General features: G+C 40.4%; 1 protein-coding gene across 36 annotated transcripts in view, besides 1 other annotated feature; it reads left to right on the forward strand.

The window, feature by feature from the left end:
• The window catches only part of ARID1B (AT-rich interaction domain 1B), a 434754-nt gene that overhangs the window by 47699 nt on the left and 364323 nt on the right, over nt 1-22732 (forward strand). For all 36 annotated transcript variants that reach the window (NM_001371656.1, XM_011535984.3, XM_017011105.3 and 33 more), the window contains one exon: nt 5503-5697. In NM_001371656.1, coding sequence (NP_001358585.1) covers nt 5503-5697 — 195 coding nt within the window. The remainder of the gene's footprint in view (nt 1-5502; nt 5698-22732) is intronic.
• Nucleotides 6132-7099: an enhancer, noted in NCBI's record as "H3K4me1 hESC enhancer chr6:157150990-157151957 (GRCh37/hg19 assembly coordinates)". NCBI's record gives its function as "activates a minimal SCP1, AML or CMV promoter by ChIP-STARR-seq in naive H9 embryonic stem cells {active_cell/tissue: H9 hESC(naive)}" and the evidence as "EXISTENCE:reporter gene assay evidence [ECO:0000049][PMID:30033119]".

Consider the following 22732-nt stretch of genomic DNA (forward strand, 5'->3'; position numbering starts at 1 on the left):
TGCGGTTGAAGGAATTGGGCTGAAAAAAGTAGTAAAATATGATATGCATAAAGATGTATCTAATAAACTGTGTTCTTAATTTGATATTTAGGAGCAAATACAATTAGATATCTTTTACTATAAATGCATGTGTAGGGATACTCTGAAAGCCTGATAACAGAGTATCTAAATATAAAAAGGATAAAGTATATTTAAAGTATACTAAAAGTATATAAGCAAGTTGTCCTTTAACTTGGATCATCTTGAAAAGGACAGTTGGATTCCCAGCCCAGCCTCTGAAAGCCTATCTGACATGTAATATAGCTGAATTGTGCTACCCAATATGCTTAGAAGAATCTATATACAAACATTTCTTAAAAATAGACAATGTATTTCTTCCTTAGAGAGAGAGAGAATAACTCCTACTTACATGTACATCCAAAAGTTTACTTTGAATAAGGAGGAGGAAAGTCTTATCAAGTAAAAAAATTGCATTAAAAGCCAAGTAACTAAAACCAGACTGGTTAGGTTAAGAGCTCTTTGAAAATGGTGGTGTATATATTGTGGCCTTCACAGCACTTGTCTTATTTTCTGGAATTGAAACTCAAGCTACAGCAGTTGTGGAATGCCATCTAGAAATGAAAACATGCTCGGACAATCTATTTAGAGAAGTTGTTGAGGGCTGTTTTCGATGTGGATGATAACCCTGATAGAGCATAAACTTTCAGTGAGAAATGAAAATGGTCATACCCGGATAGATGTTAAAAAAACATAAAATTGGCCAGGCGCAGCGGCTCACGCCTGTAATCCCAGCACTTTGGGAGGTCGAGGCAGGCGAATCACTTGAGGTCAGGAGTTCGAGACCAGCCTTGCCAACAAGGCAAAATCCTGTCTCTACAAAAAATACAAAAATAAGCTGGGTGTGGTGGTATGTGCCTGTAATCCCAGCTACTTGGGAGGCTGAGACATGAGAATCACTTGAACCCGGGAGGTGGAGGTTGCAGTGAGCTGAGATTGTGCCACTGCACTCCAGTCTGGGTGACAGAGCGAGACCCTGTCTCAGAAAACAAAACAAAACAAAAAACATAAAATTGCTTCAGGTTAGATGTGCGTATGAGAAGCAGCTTGGCCCTTTTGTTTTCCAGAAGTCTTAGATTTGATTTTTTTTTTTTTCTTTGAGATGGAGTCTTGCTCTGTCACCCAGGGTGGAGTGTGCAGTGGCACGATCTTGGCTCACTGCAACCTCTGCCTCACAGGTTCAAGCAGTTCTCCTGCCTCAGCCTTCTGAGTAGCTGGGATTACAGGTGCCCGCCACCATGCCTGGCTAATTTTTTGTATTTTAGTGGAGACAGGATTTCACCGTGTTGCTCAGGCTGGTCTTGAACTCCTGAGCTCAGGCAATCCACCTGCCTCAGCCTCCCGAAGTGCTGGGATTACAGGCGTGAGCCGCCGCACTTGGCCAATTTTTAGTTTCTTTAAGGGACTGGTAGTGAGAAGCAGGAGTTGAGACCCTCAGTTGTACATTTTTAATGCTCAAAAATAGAGGACACAGCAGGATGGATTTGGACTGTGGATGAATATTTAATAATAGACCATAAGGAGAAGTTAAAATTAAATAATTTGCACTGTATGAGTAACTGTTTTTCTATCTGAAGTCTCATTGAAAGATATTTGATGCATTTTGAGAGGTTCAGATAATCTGTGTATTTAATGCTTTCGATTTTCAGAAATCTGAGGGTTAAGCTAACATTTTTGACATGGTGCAAATTAACTGAATTTTAAGTAGGACTGTGAGAGTTGATGGCAGTGATGAGACAGATAATACAAAACAATTTTAGTCACTGATAAGATGAATTTGCTGCACTGTTATCTATAGCATTAAAACATAGACATTCCAATCATTTTCCCATTTAACATTTCTGCTTTAATTAAGGCAGTTTTGGTCGTGCACTATTTGAAGTGAAATAAGTAGACGTTTCCTGTGCCCTGGGCTGTCTAGATTGAATGTGAAGATAGGACTGCCTCAGGGCCCCGTATTGGAAATTCAGCCTGAAATTTGATTTACTCAGCCTCTCCATAGGTCCTTCATTCACTTGGCTGATTTTGAAATCACCAACTCAGCCTTGATTTTCATACTTCCATAAAAAGTTTTACCTTTTTCAAGAAAATCTAGAAAATAATCACATTTTATTTTTATCAGGCATAAATTCTAATTTAAATAATTATGAGAAAATGAATTCTTAGCCCTAGATTTTAGTTTTACTACAAATATATCAACATACATGTTTGTACACTTAATTATGAAGGCGGCTCAGGTTATGTAAAATCAGTATATTGTTTGGGCAAACAAATGTACTGTCGTTTAATTTCTATCATGTTAAGTCCAAACAATGTCTTGGCTGGTGAAAGTAGTAACAGTTTAAAATTGTATCACATGGTGAATTTTGAGCAGAAAAGTTGCTTGTAGGCTGTGGGGCCTGGGGCAAAGCACCCTCTTTCCTCCTGTGTCCTCCACAGAGCTTCATTCAGGTGAGATGGGTTCCTCCTGGCACAGTCCTGTGGATCCCTTGGGACTGAGCTCAGGTATTTCCTATAGGAAGCCTTTGTTAAAGCCCATGGCAGACCCAGTGAGACACCCTCTTCTCACCTTGCCTTGGTGCTTTGTCCCTTCAGGACATCTGCTGTGTTGCACTGTGACCTGTTTAGTCTGTCTCCTTCAGTGAATCTCCAGGACATGGAGGCTCGTTCATCCTTCTGCTTCCAGTGTTGGGCACAACGCACATAGTAGGTGCTTAGTAAATGTGTGGTGAATGGATTCACCAAATCTTTAAAGTGAACACCAGAGTATTGAGGAAGGCAGAGAAGGGGAAGGACCCGTGCAGCCTTGGAGTGGGAGTGCCAGTGGAAGAGAGGACTGGCAGTTCTCGGGGTCTGTGCTCCTGCCTTCCATCTTCACCTCCCCTCCGTCCCTCCTCTTCCAGCCTCAGCCCTCACCTCTGCAGCGAGACTGTCCTTGCCGAGCACAGCAGTGGCCTCCTTGTCAAGTATAGCAGAAGCCTTTACCCTTCACCTGACTGCATTCCTGGGCTGCATTTGGCACACCTGTTTCGTTGCTACACCTGACTCCCTTCCCTCCTGTAAGAGCACACTCTCCAGAGTGTCTACATTTTCTGGCCATTCTTCCAGCTTGTCTGTGGGTTCATTTTCCCTTTTCCCTTAAGCGGTGATATTCTCTAGGATTCTGTTCGCTACCCATTGTTTTCCTTTCATATATTCCTCCTAAATAAAGTTCATGGGTTTTATTGCTTCCTATTGATTAATTCATCAATTAATGTGCTGGGTACACTGTTCAACTTATGCCCTGGAGATATAATAGTGAATAAAATAGAGAAAATCCCTGCCCTCTGGGAGTGGATGTCCTCTCTGCTGACTTCTCTACCTATTTTTCCAGGTCAGGCCTTACTCCCCAAGCTGCAGCTCATTATGTCTCTTCCTTCTGGGCATTTTCACCTGGATTTCATATCAGAGCCTCAAGTTTCCTATGTAAACCACTGAAGGCTCCCACTCCTGGGGATATGGTGATTGGCTTCTCCCTCTGCACACTCCATCTCATTTGGCTGCTGGCTTCCATCACTCATTTGGTCTCCAAATCCTGCCGCATTTCCCTTCTAACTGTGCCTTGGAGCTGGGCTTGCTTCCTCCCACCACTGCTGCCAGTTCAGGACCTCAGCCTCACCTGCCTGCCAGGGCAACCTGACCTGCTTCCAGCTGGGTCAGGTGCCCAAGGGAGCAGTCCTGTGTTCATCTGTCAGAGGCAGCCTGAGCCTGTAGAATGCCCTGCAGGGCTCACCCATGTTCTGGCTTCTGCCTGCTTCAGCATCTTCGTAAATTCGTGCTTCACGTGGATCCAGATGGTTTTTATTTCCTGATACACACCAGGCAGTTCATCTCCCTTGACCCAGTGCCTTGTGCTGTTTCTTCTGCCCTGTGGTACTGTACATGCTGTTCCCTCCCACCTTGGACGTGTTATTCCCCTTTATCCTGGTAATTCTTTTTTTTTTTTTTTTTTTTTTTTTTTTTGAGATGGAGTCTAGCTCTGTCTCTCAGGCTGGAGTGGCACAATCTTGGCTCACTGCAGCCTCCGCCTCCTGGGTTCAAGCGATTCTCCTGCCTCAGCCTCCGGAGTAGCTGGGATTATAGGCGTGCACTACCATGCCCAGCTGATTTTTGTATTTTTAGTAGAGACGGGGTTTCACCATGTTGGTCAGGCTGGTCTCAAATTCCTGACCTCAACTGATCTGCCCGTCTTGGCCTCCCAAAGTGCTGGGATTACAGGCATGAGTCACCATGCCCGGCCTCTTTTTTTTTTTTTTTTTCAAGAGACAGGGTCCCACTGTGTTACCCAGACTGGAGTGGAGTGGTGTGATCATAGCTCACTGCAGCCTCGAACTCCTGGGGTCAAGTGATCTTCTTGCCTTAGCCTGAACAGCTCGGACTATAGGTGCCTGCCACCACGCCTGGCTAAGTTTTTAATTTGTTGTAGAGACAGGGTCTTGTGATGTTGCCAGGATGGTCTTGAATTTACCCTGCTAATTCTTAAGCCTTCCTGAAAGTCCCCATGTACTTACCTCAGTGTGAACGCAGCATCTGGCACACAGTTGGGATCAGTATGTGGTTTTGGAAGGACAGAGGAGGGAAGGAAGGAGCTGCTGGGTGAATGCTGCCTGCTACTGTAGCACCGGGTGAGGGCCTTTCTACCTATTGCTTTGTTCCTTTGACGTCCCAGGACATGAAGGGCTGAGGCTCCACGCCTAGCCCTCCTGTATGACCTCGGCCCTGAAGCCCAGGGCCTGACTCACCAAACCAAAAATAAAATTCAACATCTACTTGTGAACTGGTTGTGTTTGGTAAGATGCTGACTTACATGGGGAGAGGTGCTGTGACTCATAGTCTGAGTGCTCATCCCTACACACTGCTGGTCTCTGAACAAAATCTTTACCCTGGACATATGCATGATCTAAAATCTATCTTTTCACTTTTTAATGAACACTCGGTTGCACTAAGGTTTGATCAAGACTTGCAGACTCAGTTCTAAAATAAAATCATTGTTCTAAGAATACTTTGAAGGCAGAAAATGTTAATCACTCAATACCCTCTGCTCTTATTACTAGTAAGCTAAAAGGAGGTGGGTGAGCTTAACTATCATGCTCTTTTCCTGTACGCATAATAGAATTTTAGATGCAAATGTTTTCTCTCTGCTTATGGTCCAAAATCGTTTTTAGTTTTGTTTAGTCTAGAGCTCTCTTAGTTGTTAAAAACTCCTAAAAGTAAAAAATAAAATTTCTTGTATCCATCTAGGTTTTTTCTTTAATGTCTTGCTGGATGTTTTGTCAGGTCATTGTTTTTAATATTTTTAAAACTTAAGGATAGTTGTGTTATTAATGCATATGTTGACATAACACAAATTTGTGCCTTTGTAATAAAGAATGAATTAATAAACCGACTTCTTTTATGTCTTCACAGGGCAGCCCAATGGATCCAATGGTGATGAAGAGACCTCAGTTGTATGGCATGGGCAGTAACCCTCATTCTCAGCCTCAGCAGAGCAGTCCGTACCCAGGAGGTTCCTATGGCCCTCCAGGCCCACAGCGGTATCCAATTGGCATCCAGGGTCGGACTCCCGGGGCCATGGCCGGAATGCAGTACCCTCAGCAGCAGGTTTGTGCTGGTCCCCCGACCCGCTGCTTTTTTGTAATAGTTTTGTCTTTGCCTTTTGCTGTCCACCTAAGATTGATGTTAAAGAGAATTAGGGGGCATTGCACGGATTTTCTGCTTTAATTTTTATTGTTTCTTTAATCACAGGTATAATTTTTTTTTTCTTTTAAAGATGGAAAGGTGAGCTTCTTAAAGTGGACAGAATACCTGTTTGGTAGAAGGGCAGCAGGACCAGCTGTATTTGATAGGTGCACTGTGTCATAAATTTGCAGCAGGTTATAACAGATGTAAGCTCTGAAGTGAACTTGGCATTCCAACATTTTTGTCAGACTGTGTCAGATTTTGAGCTGTGAATAGACCATCTTAAGGTGAATTTTCAAGTCATTTAAAGGTCTTTTCCATGAGGATGGCATCAAGTTTTTAAAATTGAAAAAAAAAAAGTTTAGTCTCCCAAAGTTATTTTGCTTTCATTTCTTAAATTATTTCTTCTGTACCTTTTGAAAAAGGTTTCTGTATTTCATATAAGAGGATTTGATGTGCATCTGTTTTGTTAGGTCTTGATGGGTTTTGTGTTTTTACTTAAAAAAGACTTTTCCTGTTCTTAAGAGACCCAACATTTTCCTTTTTTTTCTCTGGAATCAAATGGAGTCACCTTAGATGACCATTTACCCTCTAGCAGTGGTAAACCTAGTCTTTTGGATACTTGAAAGAATACCCCTTTATGCTGGCTGGAGGGAGGATGAAATTTGGAAAAGACTAAATTAGATTCAAACTTGTTAGGGTATTTAGTTACTAGGAGCACCAGAAAGGCTTATTTATAAATCGCCATACCGTACCTAAGCCGCCAGGGAGTGGGTCAGGCTGATGCTGCTGCACGTTTTACTGCCCCAGGCTGGGGCGTCCCATGGTGCGGCCGTCGGTAACCCACAACAGGGCTTGACAGTGCTGTCTCAGGAAATGCTTCCATCTGACCAGACATCTTTCGTTGAGGGGCAAAAATTAGATATGACTACTGTTCTCTCTGATGTGGATATGGAGAATGATTGATCATACTTTACATGATACATAGCTGTATATTAACAGTTCATCAGTAGGTTGCTTCTGAGCCTTCTCGTTTATACACTATTCGATCTGTATTGTGATTTATTATTTGTTTCATTATTATTGTTATTAATTTATTATTGAAGTTTATTTTAATTATAATATTGTGTAAGTCTATGTTATAGTAGCATGGCATGGTGGCACCCTCCTGTATTTCCAGCTATTCGGGAGGCTGAAGTGGGAGGATCGCTTGAGCCCAGGAGTTTGAGTCCAGCCTAGGCAATGTATCGAGACCCTAAAAAAAAAAGAAATAAAATAAGTCTTTTATTTATAAAATAAGAAATAAAATGTTGTCTTTCCTCTTTATCTTTGCTCCCACTTGGATGATTTTGTTTATGTTAAGGCCATTATTGGGGAAGATAGAGGTAGCTCAGCCTTTGAATCCTAGTTGCAGATTGAACACCCTTTGCTGTTGTCAGAGACCTCACTTCTCAATTATTGAAGGTTACCCACTCCGAATTCTAGCAGTCAGTTGCATACTTAATTGTACTTTTAATTTTTTCCACATTATTCCTTTTTTTCCAGCAATATTTTGCTGCCTAGAGTAGAAATCTTTAGTTGTGGCTGCTAATTGTGAGAAGGAAATAATTTGTAAATGATGAAAAGTAAGGTGGAAGAGTTGCGATTTTCTCTCCTTCATTTTAGTTTTAGAGCAGCTTCACCATTAGTTGAGAGGAAGACAGCCCAGGCAGCTGGCTGCTCAAGTCCCCATCGCACTCTGTTGCTGATTTTATGTGGGAGCTAATAGTTGTGGATGGTGCTTTGGCCACAGGAAGAGAGCAGAGGTGGGAAGGTAGTAAGAAGTAGTGGGACCGGCAGAGAGAAGTGGATGCTCGCTGCTCTTGGGCTCCCCACTTTGCTTTTCAGCATGTTTCCCTGATGTGAGATTAAAAAGTCAGTTTCAAAAGATGCTGTTCACGGCAAGCAGCCGGATCTCCCTGGTCTCTGAAGGAGTTAAGTCTCACTAGAAGTTCTAGATGTTGGCTTAGTTTCCAGTCCCAAAGTGGGAGTCAAACAAATGGAGAGGGTGTGTGAAGAATGATTACCTAGGAAATGTTTTTAATTATTTTCTTTTCTAAATGTGTAAAGCTAAAAGTAGAGGACATACACAGATATATAGAGTAATCTCAATTTTCTTAGCTTCTTCCATTTATTTAATCCCTGTGACTCTTATACACTTTTTAAATCCAATGACTCTTAGATTTATTTGAAGGGACAAATTGATGTAGGTTGCCCATCAAGTATTTCAGCAAATTTTTAATTAAGATTTTAGATTGGATATTTTACTGCTAACCAAAAGAAATACCCAATTCTAATTAAGCACAGATCTTTCTGATAATGAAAGGAAAATAGTATATCTGGTAAGAAATTGAATATCCTGGCTGCAGAAGTGTGGAAACTTTCATAATGAGTTAATCAAAGTCATGGGTCTAAATAATCTGTATTGCCTTTTTACCTTTTCATTTAGTTAAATACAGCTTTGAAATATAGTATCTTGTTTTAAAATTTAAAAGGCTAAAAATAACAGAATGCACTTTTGAATGTGTATAACATTTTAAAGAAGACATACAGCTTTTATAATACCAAGGTCATGTGAACAGTTCTTAATTTTTGAAATGGAAAAAAATAGTGAAGATTTAGAGCAAAGGTTATTAGAGCATATACATTCATTTTGTTAGCTTGAGTCTGTGTTCTTTGGGGAGGAATTTTCAGTGAATTGCTTTGTTTCTGCATTTTGGATAATTATAAATTTGTTCACAAACAGGGTCCTGGCACTGTGATTGGCTGCTGGTCCCATCCATCTTCCCCTAGGATTAATGTAATTGGCTAAGCATTGTTGTAGTTGTGGCTAATAATGTTCTTCAGGGAAAAAGTTGAAAGATAATTATGACATTGAGTATTTATTGAGTGGACATCACCACCTAGGCATGACTTTGCTTTGGATGGCTTCCAGAACGTTCTGTGTTTGGTTTGTGAACCTCTAATGAGCTGAATCCAGTTCATTTAATATTGCTCGTATATTTCTGCACAGGATTAAAATGCAGGAATTCAAGTTTGTAAATTGAGTTGCCCACTTACCAGCTGAGTGGTAAGTTGTCTTTGGCTCAGGGGTCACAGTTTGATTCCTGGCTGGCGTTCTGCTCCTGTGATATGAATTTTAAATGAGTATTTTGTTAGAAAGAACTGCAGTGCTGATGTGAAATTTAACATGGAGAGGAGTATCACTGTTTATTTTTTGTCTCTGAGAGTCTGAAGGAACTGGCCACTGACTGTGTTTGATTTTAGTATTACCCTGGTGATCTTTGATTTGTATGGTGATAATTTTGTTTTTGAGATATACTCGTGACTGGATCTTTGAAGCATGACGTGATAATAGTACATCATTTTAGTCTTTATTAACTGGAACTAGATTTGTGGTCTTTCACTTGCCAGTTCTCCCACATCATCAGGCAAATACATGGCTAAACAGATTAGTTTTGCACGGTGCCCTAAAAACTAGTCTACTTGGGTTTTTGTTGAGTTCAGGGGGGAAATGAATTTTCTATGCCTCTGTGGAGAATATTCTGCCTCCAGGCTTCTGGAATTCAGACATGGGGTTGGTTAACAGAAGTACATTGGTTGATTTCATCTATTAGACAGCTACACAGAAGAGGCATAATTTTTAAGGTTACTAGAATCTGACTCTGAGTTTTTCAGATTAAAAAAAAAACAAACCTTAAAGACACCAAGATATTCTTTGCTGGATCAGGAATGCAGGTTTTGTTTCATTTTTCTTATCCTTCGTGATCATAAATGTACACCTAGGCCTTTACCAACTTGTTTTAAATAAGATTTTAATATAAAACGGCACCCAGGAGAAATAGCTTACAGAAGCTGAGTTATTTATTTGTGTCAAGCAGATTTCAATTATGTAGACTGAGATTTTTCCTGAGTTTTTTTTTGTAATTGGGTTGATATTTTAACTATTCTTGCAGGTGTTTGATAATATGATGCCTGTTGGAATTATAAAACAGGGCAAAAGGAAAAAAAGCAAAATGAGAGATTGAAGTTCATGAGTGCTTTTATGATGGGAAAACATGACTTTTTTAGTTTTTAAAGGCATACATGTATTGCGAAGAACTTTATAGCAGGAACATAGAATATGATCATTGTTTTGAAATAGAAAATGGCAAAATTAAATATAAACTAATTATTTTTGTTAAGGTGATTCATCTGAACTTATTACTTCATATTGAAGTAAAAACAATTCAAAACAGGTTTCCTTGAAGAGGGCTTGAAAAAGATTTGTATTCTAATTTTGCTGCATGTTTTTTGAGTAAAATATTTATTTCAGAACATAAGCATTTTATTTGGTACCCTCTTAACAGCCAAAACACTTCTTCCAATGCAAATGTTTATTTTGGCAGCAGATGTTTCTAAAAAGGAGACAAACATTACAATTGTTTGGCTAAAATAAATGTTTCCTTTGGGGTTATTAAGGCAGCCAGGCAATTTCTAGGGTTTCCACCTGTGTTAATTTATATTGTTGATCTATTCTGGAAAAAAATGTGTTTCTTTTAAATGTAATTAAAGCCACGTTTTGATATAGTTTGCATGAGAGCTCTGAAAAGTAAGGATGAATGGGGAGAGGAAGACTGGTTTAAGACTTAAAAATTCCAGAGTTTTTCATCATGAAATGTTTATTATGATTCAATCTTTGAATCCTAAATATGAATCCAATAGTCAGGGCTTAATTTTTGTTTTATTTAAAAAAGAGCCTAGACTTCCTATGTTTGCGACTGTGATGGTGTGTCCAGGATGAGAAAGGATAGATAACTTGACTAAGTATAATGGAGAGGAATGGGTGCCTGGTGCCTGTTTTACATTCAGACTCTTAATTTTTTGAGTCTCTATATTTACTTAAAGATGCCCATTCATATCTGTGTGCACATGTACGCTCCCACATGTGTGTAAAAAACAGAACATTCATGTGACAATGGCATTCTTGTGTAATGAAACGTGTATATGTATATTAATTTATATGTTAAACATATTTGTAGATATACATATATAAACACACAAATGAAATGAAGGTGAACATTTTGGCCAGTAAAATAATGAAATGCTATGAAATTTCACTATGTTGTTTACAGCATTTTCATACATTCGTGTTCTGTACTGAGACTTGGAGCCGAGCTGATTTGCTTGTACACCTGAAATGTTTGGAGGCCCTTCAGCAGATTGCAGATTTTTATAAATAATGGCCTTTCGTTGGCCACATTTTGTCATGGTTTCCTCAGTTGTTCTTCAGCAGTGAACATGAAGGTATTTAAGGTTTACCAGCAAAATACATTTATACCTCACATTTCTGCTTCCAAGTAGATAGCAGATGCTACTGGCTGTGATGCCAAAGCTCCCTGTAGATGGAGTTTTGTACTAAGAAAATATTTTTGGGCCGGGCGCGGTGGCTCACGCCTGTAATCCCAGCACTTGGGGAGGCTGAGGTGGGCGGACCACGAGGTCAGGAGATAGATAGAGACCATCCTGACTAACACAGTGAAACCTTGTCTCTACTAAAAAAATACAAAAAAATTAGCCGGCGTGGTGGCGGGCGCCTGTAGTCCCAGCTCCTCGGGAAGCTGAGGCAGGAGTATGGTGTGAACCCGGGAGGCGGAGCTTGCAGTGAGCCGAGATCTTGCCACTGCACTCCAGCCTGGGTGACAGAGGGAGACTCTGTCACAAAAAAAAAAAAAAAAAGAAAATATTTTTGAAAAGATTTGTAAATTCCTATAATACCTAACTGGTTTTGTGTACTTTTTATATTGTATTTGGGTTTAAACATATTTGAATTGTGACATTCTTGGAATGATATGTTAGAAGAGATCATATTTTAAGTTAAATAAAGATTTTTAAATCTTTAGCCTTTTTCCGAAAAGTGAGAGAAGATCAGATTTTACCTGAAAGTTTAATGAGAAAATGTGAGATGATTTCATTTTAATATGGAAAGCTGCTTTTATATTAGGATGTTTATATTGATACATTTATTTTTTATCTGTACATTTACATTATTCTCGATTTTCTAAGCTTATATACAGTATATAGCGCCTAGTACTCTGCTGGTAGTTTATACTGTTTTGTCATGTACACATGAGTTCCACTATGTATTTTACATATAGACTTTCAACCTAAAATATCTGTAAGGTTTTCTATTTTACTTTTGAGATGTAAATCTTAAATGTATGTTTTATTTTTATTTTTTAGAGACAAGGTCTTGCTCTGTTGCCCGGGCTGGAGTGCAGTGGCATGAACATGGCTCACTGCGGCCTTGACCTCCTGGGCTCAAACAATCCTCCCACCTCAGCCTCCCAAGCAGTTGGGACTACAGACATGTGCCACCATGCCCAGCTAATTTTTAAATTTTTTTGTAGAGACGTCTCACCATGTTGCCCAGGTTGGTCTCGAACAAGTGTGTGTTTTAGGTAGCACTGAATGAGTATATTTTAAATAAGTGTGATTTATTTGCTTTCACCAAAGAAACATTAAGCATGGTATTTATGTTAAAACGTTAATAATTCAAATAAAGGTAACAGTCGACGTCAGTAAAATGAACCAACCATATCCCTTCAGCGCTCCTTGGAAAACAAACACTGAACAACAACGGAAATCCCACAAGATAAATGGAAAGTTAAAGTGATTAAGTGACGTATCTTAGACAAGTGGTTCTCAAACTTTGCTGAATGTTAGAGTCTCCCGGGGCATTAAGAAAATCCCCCCACGGATGCCCAAGGATGCCCATATCAATGACACCTGACTGTGAAGGCCCTAATCTCCCGTGACTGCCCTGTGAGTCAGGGTATTAGAGGGAGGCTACGTGGGCAAGCGGGGGCAGCTCACACCTTCTGGAGACTTGGTAGTGATGCTGGTTCTTGGCCCACTCGGTGAATCAGAAACTCACCACTGACCCAAAGGAATGAAATGGGCCCAGAACCAGGAGCTGGGATGGTTGAGTCCTTGCCTGTTAAAGTCTAATCTGTGTGTGATACTGGGAAAATCTGGATCTCACTGTGCTCCTCTGCCAGATGAGGGGGTTGGACTATAAGACCTCTCAGCTTGGATTTCCCCTTTAAAGTAATATTAAGTGAATGTCTTTTCATTTCAGTATTAGATTTTTGTTTGTTTGTTTGACATGGGGTCCTGCTGTGTCACCCAGGATGGAGTGCAGTGGCACGATCACGGCTCACTGCAGCCTTGACCTCCTGGGCTCAGGTGATTCTCTCACCTCAGCCTCCTGAGTAGCTGGGACTACAGGTACATGCCACCACACCCAGCTAATTTTTAATATTTTTGTAGAGACAGGGTTTTGCCATGTAGCCCAGGCTGGTTTTGAACTTCAGGACTCAAGCGATCCACTTGCCTTGGCCTCCAAAGTGCTAGGATTACAGGCATGAGCCACCATACCCAGCCTCAGCATTAGATTTTAAAGTCTTGTTATTTCAGCAGTCTTGTGAAATGTATGGGTTGATGCTTGACAAATTGTATTAAGATAACTACTGACCCACATTCTTTTTAAAAGAGAAAGAGGTGTTTCTTTCTTCTTCAAAGATTAGCAAATTGTTGGTATCAGTCTAATAAATTATTTTCTAATTCTTAATTTTATTGTTTTTTAAATGAATGTATTCTCATGTAAGTCTTTGTTCTGCAAGAACCTGGTATGTGTTAGATGTGTAGAGTGCAGTCTGTCCTTTTTGATAAGTAGAAAATCTTAAGGTTGACATTCTTGGAATCACAAAAGGAAGCAAAGAGAGATCTAGCAATTACTCATTTTTAAGACATTGCTACTTTCTAAGTAGTTCTGAAAACAAGTATATATTGAACAACATTGGGACAGATTATATAAAGTGAAGTCCGGATGGAAACACGTTTCAAGATTTATGTTCTGTGCATTACCTTAACTCTTTAACTCTCATGAGGTAGGCTAGATGGCTTTGTTTTTGTATTTTAAAAAGGTTTTTTTTCTAAAGGTAAAAAGTTTTTCTTTTATGTTAATAGCCAGCCAATAGTTAAATTCTTAATGGCAAAAAATTCTTTATGGCAGTTTGATTATTTTTACATGTAATAAATTTATTAAAGCTATTTGCCCTTATTATAATTTTGAAAAGGAACTTTAAAAGTTAAATCTGTAGTTGTGAATGAAATTAAGAAAACTCTTAAGCTGAGAGGGTGCAGAGGAAGAAGATGGGTGGGAGCATGTGAGGCAAGTAGGGGATTATAAAGAAGCAGCAGCTTTATAATCTGGCTCTCCTCCGCAGAGCCAGAGAGCCTTGCTTAATCCAGGCTTCCTCAGGCCTCGAGAGCAACTCTGCAGTTGGACTCAAGTTTAGAAATGTTTGGGACGTCCTGGATTTGAGATCTGAATGTGGGTAGTGTGCGTGTATAACACAAACATCCCTTGCCTGCTTAAATAGCCCCAATCCAAAATTTTGGTCACTAGATAAACAGCAGGAGTTACCCAGCTTCCCAATTCTTATGGAGAAGTGTGTTTAATTTAGAAAGCAGACCATATTCCAAAGAATGAGCCAAATTCATCTCCCTTTATTGATATTGACTTGGTAAGAGCATGCTTATTTTATTTTATTTTATTTTTTTTAAATAACTACCAAGCAAACCAACCAGTAGAATTGGCTCTTCAGGGTTAGTCAAAGGCAAGGATCCAAGTCAAGATCTATAAAACACCAAACATTCAGAAACAAAGTCAGACTAATGTTAATAGCAAAAATACGCAGGTATTAGAATTAAAATGCAAAAACCTGTCATTGCTGAGGTAATTAAGTTTTACTTAATGGTCCTGAGACATGGTATAACCAGCCTCACTTGGATAGTTGTAGTAGCTAGTCCTCAAGAGAGCTGGAGACAAACGTCTTTTGGAAGAAAGCTTCAGTCTGAGATGCACCACAGAAAAGACAGCTGTGCAGGGATGGTTTTCCAGCCTGAGCTGCCAACGATAGCGAGAGCGTACCTGAAAGCAAGAGCTCTTAAAACGCTCTAAGTCACCGAAGCCTGTCGGTGGGAATGGGAGGATGGGGGAGGGATAGCATTAGGAGAAATACCTAATGTAAATGATGAGTTGATGGGTGCAGCAAACCAACATGGCACATGTATACCTATGTAACAAACCTGCATGTTGTACACAGGTACCCTAGAACTTAAAGTATAATAATAATAATAATAATAATAAACAAAAAAAACCGCTCTAAGTAAGGATTAGATGTTTCTTTATAATCAGTATCATAATCATTGTTTCCAAAGAGAACTGGGAAAAGGTAAAGCCCAGAATAATTATTGGCCTATGGGATCTGTGACCTCAGATACTCTCTTAAAAGGGTCAGCCAACAAGGAGGCTTCCCTTTTTTTCAATTAGTATATTACCTTGAGATTTCCAGTAGGATCTTCAGGCATCCCAATAGTCATTTTCCAGACATCTTAAGGATTTACATCTCTGGAGGTTCTCCTCAGTGTCCTGGGCTTCATGGAGAAATAGGGCCTGCCTTCTTTTCTTCCTACTTGTGGGTCCTGTGCCATTCGTTAGGGGTCATGGAGATGACAAGGTCTTACTCTTCAGTAATTGGCCAAAATTTGATGGTTAGTGTCTTAGTTTCTTTTCTGTTGCTGTAAAAAAAATCACAGACTGGGTAATTTATAAAGAAAGGAAATTTATTTCTTATAGTTCTGAAGGCTGAGAAGTTCAAAGGCATGGTGTTGGCCTCTGGTGAGGGCCTTTTGCTGCTTCACAACGTGGTGGAAGGCATCACAGGGTGAGAGGGTAGTAGCGTGCTGGCTCAGATCTCTCTTCCTCTTCTTATAAAGCCTTGAGTCCCATTGTAGGGAACCTCATTCTGATGACCTTATCTAATTAATTCCTGAAGTCCCTACCTCCAGTCAACATATGAATTTGGAGATTAAATTTTCAACACATGAAATTTAGGGGATACATTCAAATCACTGAGCAGTTGGGGAGAGGAGGAAAGACTAGAATCCCCTTCAGCTGCCAGGAAGAGCTAATCTCTTTCTCCCCTAGTGTCTCTGGCTGAGTTCTCACCCATTCTTCTTCCTCCTTGGCGTCAAAATAAAAGGATGGGAAGAGTGATAACTTAGTCACATCACTGGCCCTTAGTCTTCATGGCATCTGATGTATCACAGCACACTTCCAGGAATGGCGGTTAAGGGGTGCTTCACTGCACATACGCAGCAGGCCGTGAGAGTGATAAGCACACAGTGGAGAGTGAGACATGAGGCTCCAGGAGGGATTCCAGCTCTGACCAGGAAATCACCACTGCTGCTGAAAGCCACCAAGGTCTGGCAAGGAGCATCATGCAGTGTGCTTACTTCCAAATCAAACTCTGCTATGATCTAACAAAGAATTTAAGTCACGTGAATGCACGCAGGCTGCAAGAGAGGCTGCGAATTTGAGTTCGGATTTCTAAATTTCGGAGGCAGAACTTTGTGGTTGTTAACTCTTTGTAGGGAACACAGAATTGTTCTCGACAGTTCCAAAGTTTTTCTTGTGTAGAAATTTCCCTCTTCAGTGTCGCCTCCTGTAGTTTTCCTGTCTCAATACCTGGTAGCTTCTTCCTTCCCACCGTCTGGGCCACAACCCCTCCTCTGTTTCTCAGCCTTTAAATCTTTTTCTTGGCTTTTCTCAGCCTTTTTCATCTGTTCTGACCTTTGCGTTTCCTTTTCCTCCTGCTGGGAAGTCTTGCAGGGCTTGCTATCTGAGTTCCTTGAGACATTTCTCTGACTTAAGTAAAATTGCACACTCCCACTGCCTCCTGCCCTGTTCTGTTTTCTCCAGCTCTCTTATCCCCTCCTGAACCTCACTTGTCTGATCCTCCCGTTAGAACATATGGCCTAGGCCGGCAGGGACTGTTTTCCACGGGTGTGGACCCATCGTCTAGAGCCGTACATGGCATTTCACAAACATTTCCAAACTACTAATGAAGAAGTTGCCGAATCCTAGACTCTGGCCAGTGAAATCTGTCCAGCTTGATGCAAAAATGTCTGTGTGCTTTAGCCGTGTTATCTGCCACCCATGGTTCGCTCCGAGATTAGGCTCATTCTCCAAAGCTTTCATAGTTTTCACTAGAATCCCGGTGCCCAGGTGCTCTGAGAACAAAGCCTGCAGACAGCTATGGGGCTGTGTTTTTAATGCTGCTTTTAGATTCCTAAGGAAGTTTTGATGCCTGAGAGATTGTTCTAGCTGAGTGGTTTTCTGTCTTGCTGTCTTGCTGTGTCATGTCCGGGGTCTGTGTTTCTTCCTCTCTGATTCTAACCCCATTGAGTAAATTGGAGATGGCTGCTACTCTGCTCTAAGGCCCATTATGTCTCAGAATGATCCCTTGCACTGGGTGTAATACCTCAGTCTGGAGAAGGTTGAGTTGGATTTGGTGTACCTGTGATGGGAGCTAGGTTCTTCATCCCAACACCAGTCATTCAACAGTGCTTACTGAAGAAAGTCCCCAAGTAGTTAGGATGCCGTACATACAAAACAGATGTTTTTCTGTTAGGGATTTGCTGCTGGAGGGAAGAGAGTTCTACCACATGTGGTGGAAGAACAGGGCCTGGAAGATGGGCTTTGAGCCTCTGTAGTGAGAGCACAGTTCACATCCATGTTTGTGCTGGGATCACGGAAAGGGCTTTTGATGGCATTTTAGTTCTCTGTCGCTGATCATTTGGACCCAGACTTGATTTTCACAGTGCTTTATGGGGGCTGCTGCCATTATGCATACACTGCATCGTAGCCCATTTCCAAAGCAGAGGTCATGGCTACGGCTGGAATGAGAGTTGCACCTCGGAGTAGAGGAATGAAATTTAGGTTGAATTCTTAAAAATCATCCCTGTGTGCTTTATTCTAGTTGAGAATCTTTGATAGACATATAATTTTGATGATGATGATGACAGGAATCTAGTGCCTTCATGTAAACTGTCACCATCACAATTGTCTCCTCTCTGGACCCAATTTCTTATTTGTAAATATGAGAAGTTGCCTCTGGATGACAGTAACAATAACAGCAATCTCTGTGCCAGGTCTTATGCTAAGTACTTTTACATGGATGTTCTCCTTTAATCCCTGCCATGTTTCTATTTATCTCCATTTTATGAATAGTAATAGTAGCTCATGTTTATTGAGGGCTTACTCTGGGTCAGGCACTTACTTGTTTTGCTTGTTTTATATGGATTAACTCACCCAGTCCTCATAACAGCCTCTGAGACAGGCATTGTTATATAGTCATCCTCATTTTACAAATGAGGAGGCTAAGGGGAGGGGTTACTCAGGCTGTTCAAATTTACATGCCTACTAAGTGCTATAACAAGCATTTCAGTTCCTTAGCGCCTGAACTCTGGGCGCACGCTAGCACTGTTTTATGATTCTGGTAAAGCTGGAATCCTTGTAACTGACACTGGAGTTCCTTTGAGTTTTTAAATAATAAGACTGATTATAATTAAAGTAGCCTCATTTTGACATTGAATATTCGTTTCACGTAAAGTCTTTTGTGACCTTTAACAATTTGAAAATTGAATGTTACCTACTACGTCTATCACACTTAGAGGAATTTTTTTGAGGGGAAATTCACATAACATAAAATTAACCACTTAAAAATGTACAGTTCAATAATGTTTACTGCAGTAATAGTGTTGTACAACCACCTCCTCTGTCTAGTTCCAACATTTTCACCACCCCCAGATGAGACCCCTGGATTCATTACGTAGTTACTCTCTGTTGTCCCTCTTCCCCCCAGGCAACTGCTAACCTGCCTTCTACCGCTGGATTTACCTGTTTTTGATGCTTCATGTAAATAGAATGATATAATATGTGACCTTTTGTGTCTGGCTTTTTTCAGTTAGCATACTGTTTTCAAGGTTCATCTCTTGTGGCACGTTCCAGCACTTCATTCCTTTCTATGGCTTAATAATCTGTTGGATATATGCATCACATTTTGTTTATCCATTCATCCATTGATAGACATTTGGGTTGTTTCCACCTTTTAGCAATTGTAAATAGTGCTGTTATGAACATTTGTGTACAGGTATTTGTTTGAATACTTACTTTCAATTATTTTGAGTATATACCTAGGAGTAGAATTGCTGGATCATGTGGTAATTCTATATGTTAACTTTTTAAGGAAGTGCCAAACCATTTTCCATAGTGGCTGTACCATTTTACACTAGAAACAGGATTTTATCATTGGTCTGTTATTTACTGAGACTCTTAAGTGCCAGGGAATCTTGCCAAACCCTTTTCATATATCATTTCCTATAATTCTCGCCAAATCCATGAGGTAAGTAATACTACTCACTTTGCCAGTGGGGAAACAGAGGTTAGGTAGCTTGCCCAAGCTGATACAAACTCTAAGTAGAGAATTCTGCCTTTCTATTAGATAGTAGCCTTAAAGATCCTCCAGACCAGCCTTGCTGTGTGTGCAACACATTCCACTGGTGTTAGGCAAGGTCATTTTGGGTGGCACATAGACACAGCATTACATAACCTGGAGTTCTAGAGTAGGGTAGTTGTTCTCTCATTGGTGTTAGTACGCGGTAGCACCCTTCCAACACTTCATAGTGCCTCCCACCCCATTTCCTTTTTCTGAAGAACAGGCCTGTGTCTATACCTTGGGCAGCATCAATATCTGGTTAGAATGTAACCATTATTGTATTGTCTTCATGGTATTCATTTTTTCTGGTAATCTTCTGTTTATGACGAGTAGTATTATTTTATATATATGGTAGTATGCAAAGTTTTAAAATACAATTTTTAAATTAAAAAGTGTTTCACTGGAAAGAAAAACAGTTCATGCTGTAAGTTAAGCTTACTTACTTTGAGTTTAACTCAGCACATGTATTTTCAATGTCTACAGTTGTTCAGTCCTGTACTAGTCATGGGGAAATACCAAGACAGCCGTAACTGGGGCTTTGCTCCAGAGGACCACGGCAGGGACACTCTGCAAAGAGATATGCTGAGTAGTGCGCACAGGTAGGGATGTTTACCCTGGGGCTATGGTAACACCGAGGGGCACACCTGGGCTGGGATAAGGACAGGAATGTAGGGGGGGTGTTAGGCTGTATATGTGAATCCAGACTGATTCTAATAATAATATGTATTTACTAAATTTTAAAAATTGGTATTTTGCAGTTAGATAAATGCCATTATCTCATGTGTCCATTGCTATCCATAGCTATTGTTTTGGTCGAATAAATTGAGAGAATATTATTAAGGTCTTTGACAGTTTGCTCACTTAGTTGTCATCAGATGTTTACTGGTAGCCCTAAGTGGGTGAACTCAAAGTACATCATGGGAGCAGACACGTACCAGGTACTTGGATGCAGTGTGAGGAGTGCTGGGTCAAGATCTATGGACTATACTCTGGGAACACCTGAAGCTGCATGGGGTGGGGAATAGGTGCCCCTAGACCTGGATCTTGCTGTAGGAGTTTGCTGGGTCTGGGGAGAGAGGCATGTGTTCTTGGGGAGTAGGTAGAGTGTGCTTTTCAAGTTCAATTAGATTGTAAAGGGGTCTTTGTGAATTTTACAGAATTTTTCACATTTTCAGTTTACACATGGTTATGAGCATAGAATCAAGCTTTCTCCCCTTCTTGCTTCCAAATTTTCCTTTCATCTTTGTTCTGCTTTGGTGCTTCGATGGATCAGTTCAGAAAGCCACAGGGCTGCCGCTTACAGGCTGGCTGGATCTTGTTTGATTTTTTGTTTTGTTTTGTTTAAGAAGAGAAACTGTTTCTTCATACTTGGAGCAAGCGCTCAGGCTTCCAGAGTGAAGAAAATTCCTACTCTGTCTGTGTATCCAGAGAGGATGGAAGTGCAGTATGTCTCTAAACATTGTTTTGATAAGTAGACTTTTTAAAATTGGTATATGATTTCTATTAACCTTACTTTCTTCTGTATCAGAGTGCATCATGCAATTATAGCACCTCTATGGCAGTTAAGTTTATATATAAAGAATTAACATTTTGCTTTGCAGTCTACATTGCTGGTGACTTTTGCCTTTGGAAATAGGAACTTGCCAAAAATCTAAAGTAATGTTCAGGCAATATACTCAACACTCTGAGTGTTTGTTCTGGTGTGTTTAACCTGGTGAAGGATGATAGGGAAATAAGTAAAGAAGTGAAGTTTTGAATAAAAACTGACTGCCTTGCCCTGTATTTCCTTTTCCCTCTATCATCTTTCCATATTATAACTTTTGGTTAAATCAACTTTCAGTGTTTATGTTAATGTAACTATAAAATAACTGTCTGTAGTTGAGTCATGGACTGCAAGTATATTTCCTTACTGTACAACTTTCTGTTATCCAGGAGTTGATAACTGCCCATTATTTTACGTTTTAAGAAATGTATACATCACCAGTTTATCCTCAAGCTCTGATAGAACGGTGCACTTCCTCTCAAGATGGTGGAACCCATTAGTTACTTAGACTCTGAGTGAACAATTTTTCATGTTCATGGATGACCATCATCTTTTGAATAGCCTTCCCGTGTCTGGGGAGATGTCCACATGTAAAAAGCTCTGTCTCCGTAATTTAGGAGACATCTTCAGCCGGGGATGCATTCAGGTGGCTTAAGTTCTTTTAATTAGACCAGCCATACTGGACTTTTATTTGGAAGTAAGCACTTTGCATGTTGTTCTTTAAATTTTGTGTGGCTTTCAGCAGCAGTGGTGATCTCCTGGTCAGAGCTGGAATCCCTCCGGGAGCCACCTGCCGCATTCTGCATTCTGTACTTTATTACCCTCCTGGCCCGCTGCGCATTCGGAGTAAAGCATCCCTTAACTGCCATTCTTGAAATTACTTTGACCTCAAACCCTGTTTTCTGAATTCCATGTCTTGTCTTTATGTAATCCTCGTTTTAGTAGGGTTCATCCTGTAGTAGCTTTGTAGGAAGGGTGCAGGAGATGTGCGTGTCTCTGCTTGTCAGAAAGGTGGCCTTAATGGGTGGATTGGCTGAGTGTAGAATTCTAGATTGGATATAATTTTCCCTCAAAAACTGTTGTTCCCCCACTGTCCTCTGAGCTTCTAGCATGTCTGTTGAGAAGTCCAGGGCCCCTTCTTTGGTATGTCACTGATTGTTTTTCTCTCTGGAGACTTTAGAAACTTGATCTCCTTGATTTCTAAAATGTGGATGAACTTTGGAGTTGGTATTTTCCATCCATTTTGCTAGACTCATTCAGTATTAAACTTGGTGCTATTTTTTTCTTCGTTAGGGGAGGGTATTATTCCTTTGATAATTACCATATCTTTATTTCATTTGTTCTTACTATCTATGAACCTTATTAGTTGGGTGTTATAAGTCCTGGATTAATTCTTTAATTTTTGAAACTTTTTTTCTATCCTCCTTTCATCTGATTGCTTTTTTTGTTGTAGTTCCTGGCAGATGTTTGTTCTGTTTTTGTAGTTTCACTTTCCATGAACTTGTTTTGTTCACCAAATTTTTCTTTTTTATACCATCTTACTCTTATTTCGTGGCTACAATGGTTTATCTTGCCGACGACAATGTTGGGATTCTTTTTGAAGGGCTCCTCTGCAGTGTTCCTGGTCCATATTTCCTTTCAGCCCTTCACCTATACGGTCTTTCTGGTTGGAGGCTATTTTTTTTGTTTGTTTGTTTGTTTTTGAGACAGAGTCTCACTCTGTCACCCAGGCTGCAGTACAGTGGCACAATCTCCGCTCACTGCAACCTCCGCCTCCTGGGTTCAAGTGATTCTTCTGCCTCAGCCTCCTGAGTAGCTGGGACTACAGGTGTGCACCACCACACCTGGCTAATATTTTTTTTTTTTTTTGTATTTTTAGTGGAGACGGGGTTTCACCATGTTGGCCAGGCTGGTCTCAAACTCCTGACCTCGTGAACCACCCGCCTCGGCCTCCCAAAGTGCTGGGATTACAGGCTGAGCCACCGCG

This window comes from Homo sapiens, chromosome 6 (genome assembly GCF_000001405.40).
Source record: "Homo sapiens chromosome 6, GRCh38.p14 Primary Assembly".
Lineage (NCBI taxonomy): Eukaryota > Metazoa > Chordata > Mammalia > Primates > Hominidae > Homo > Homo sapiens.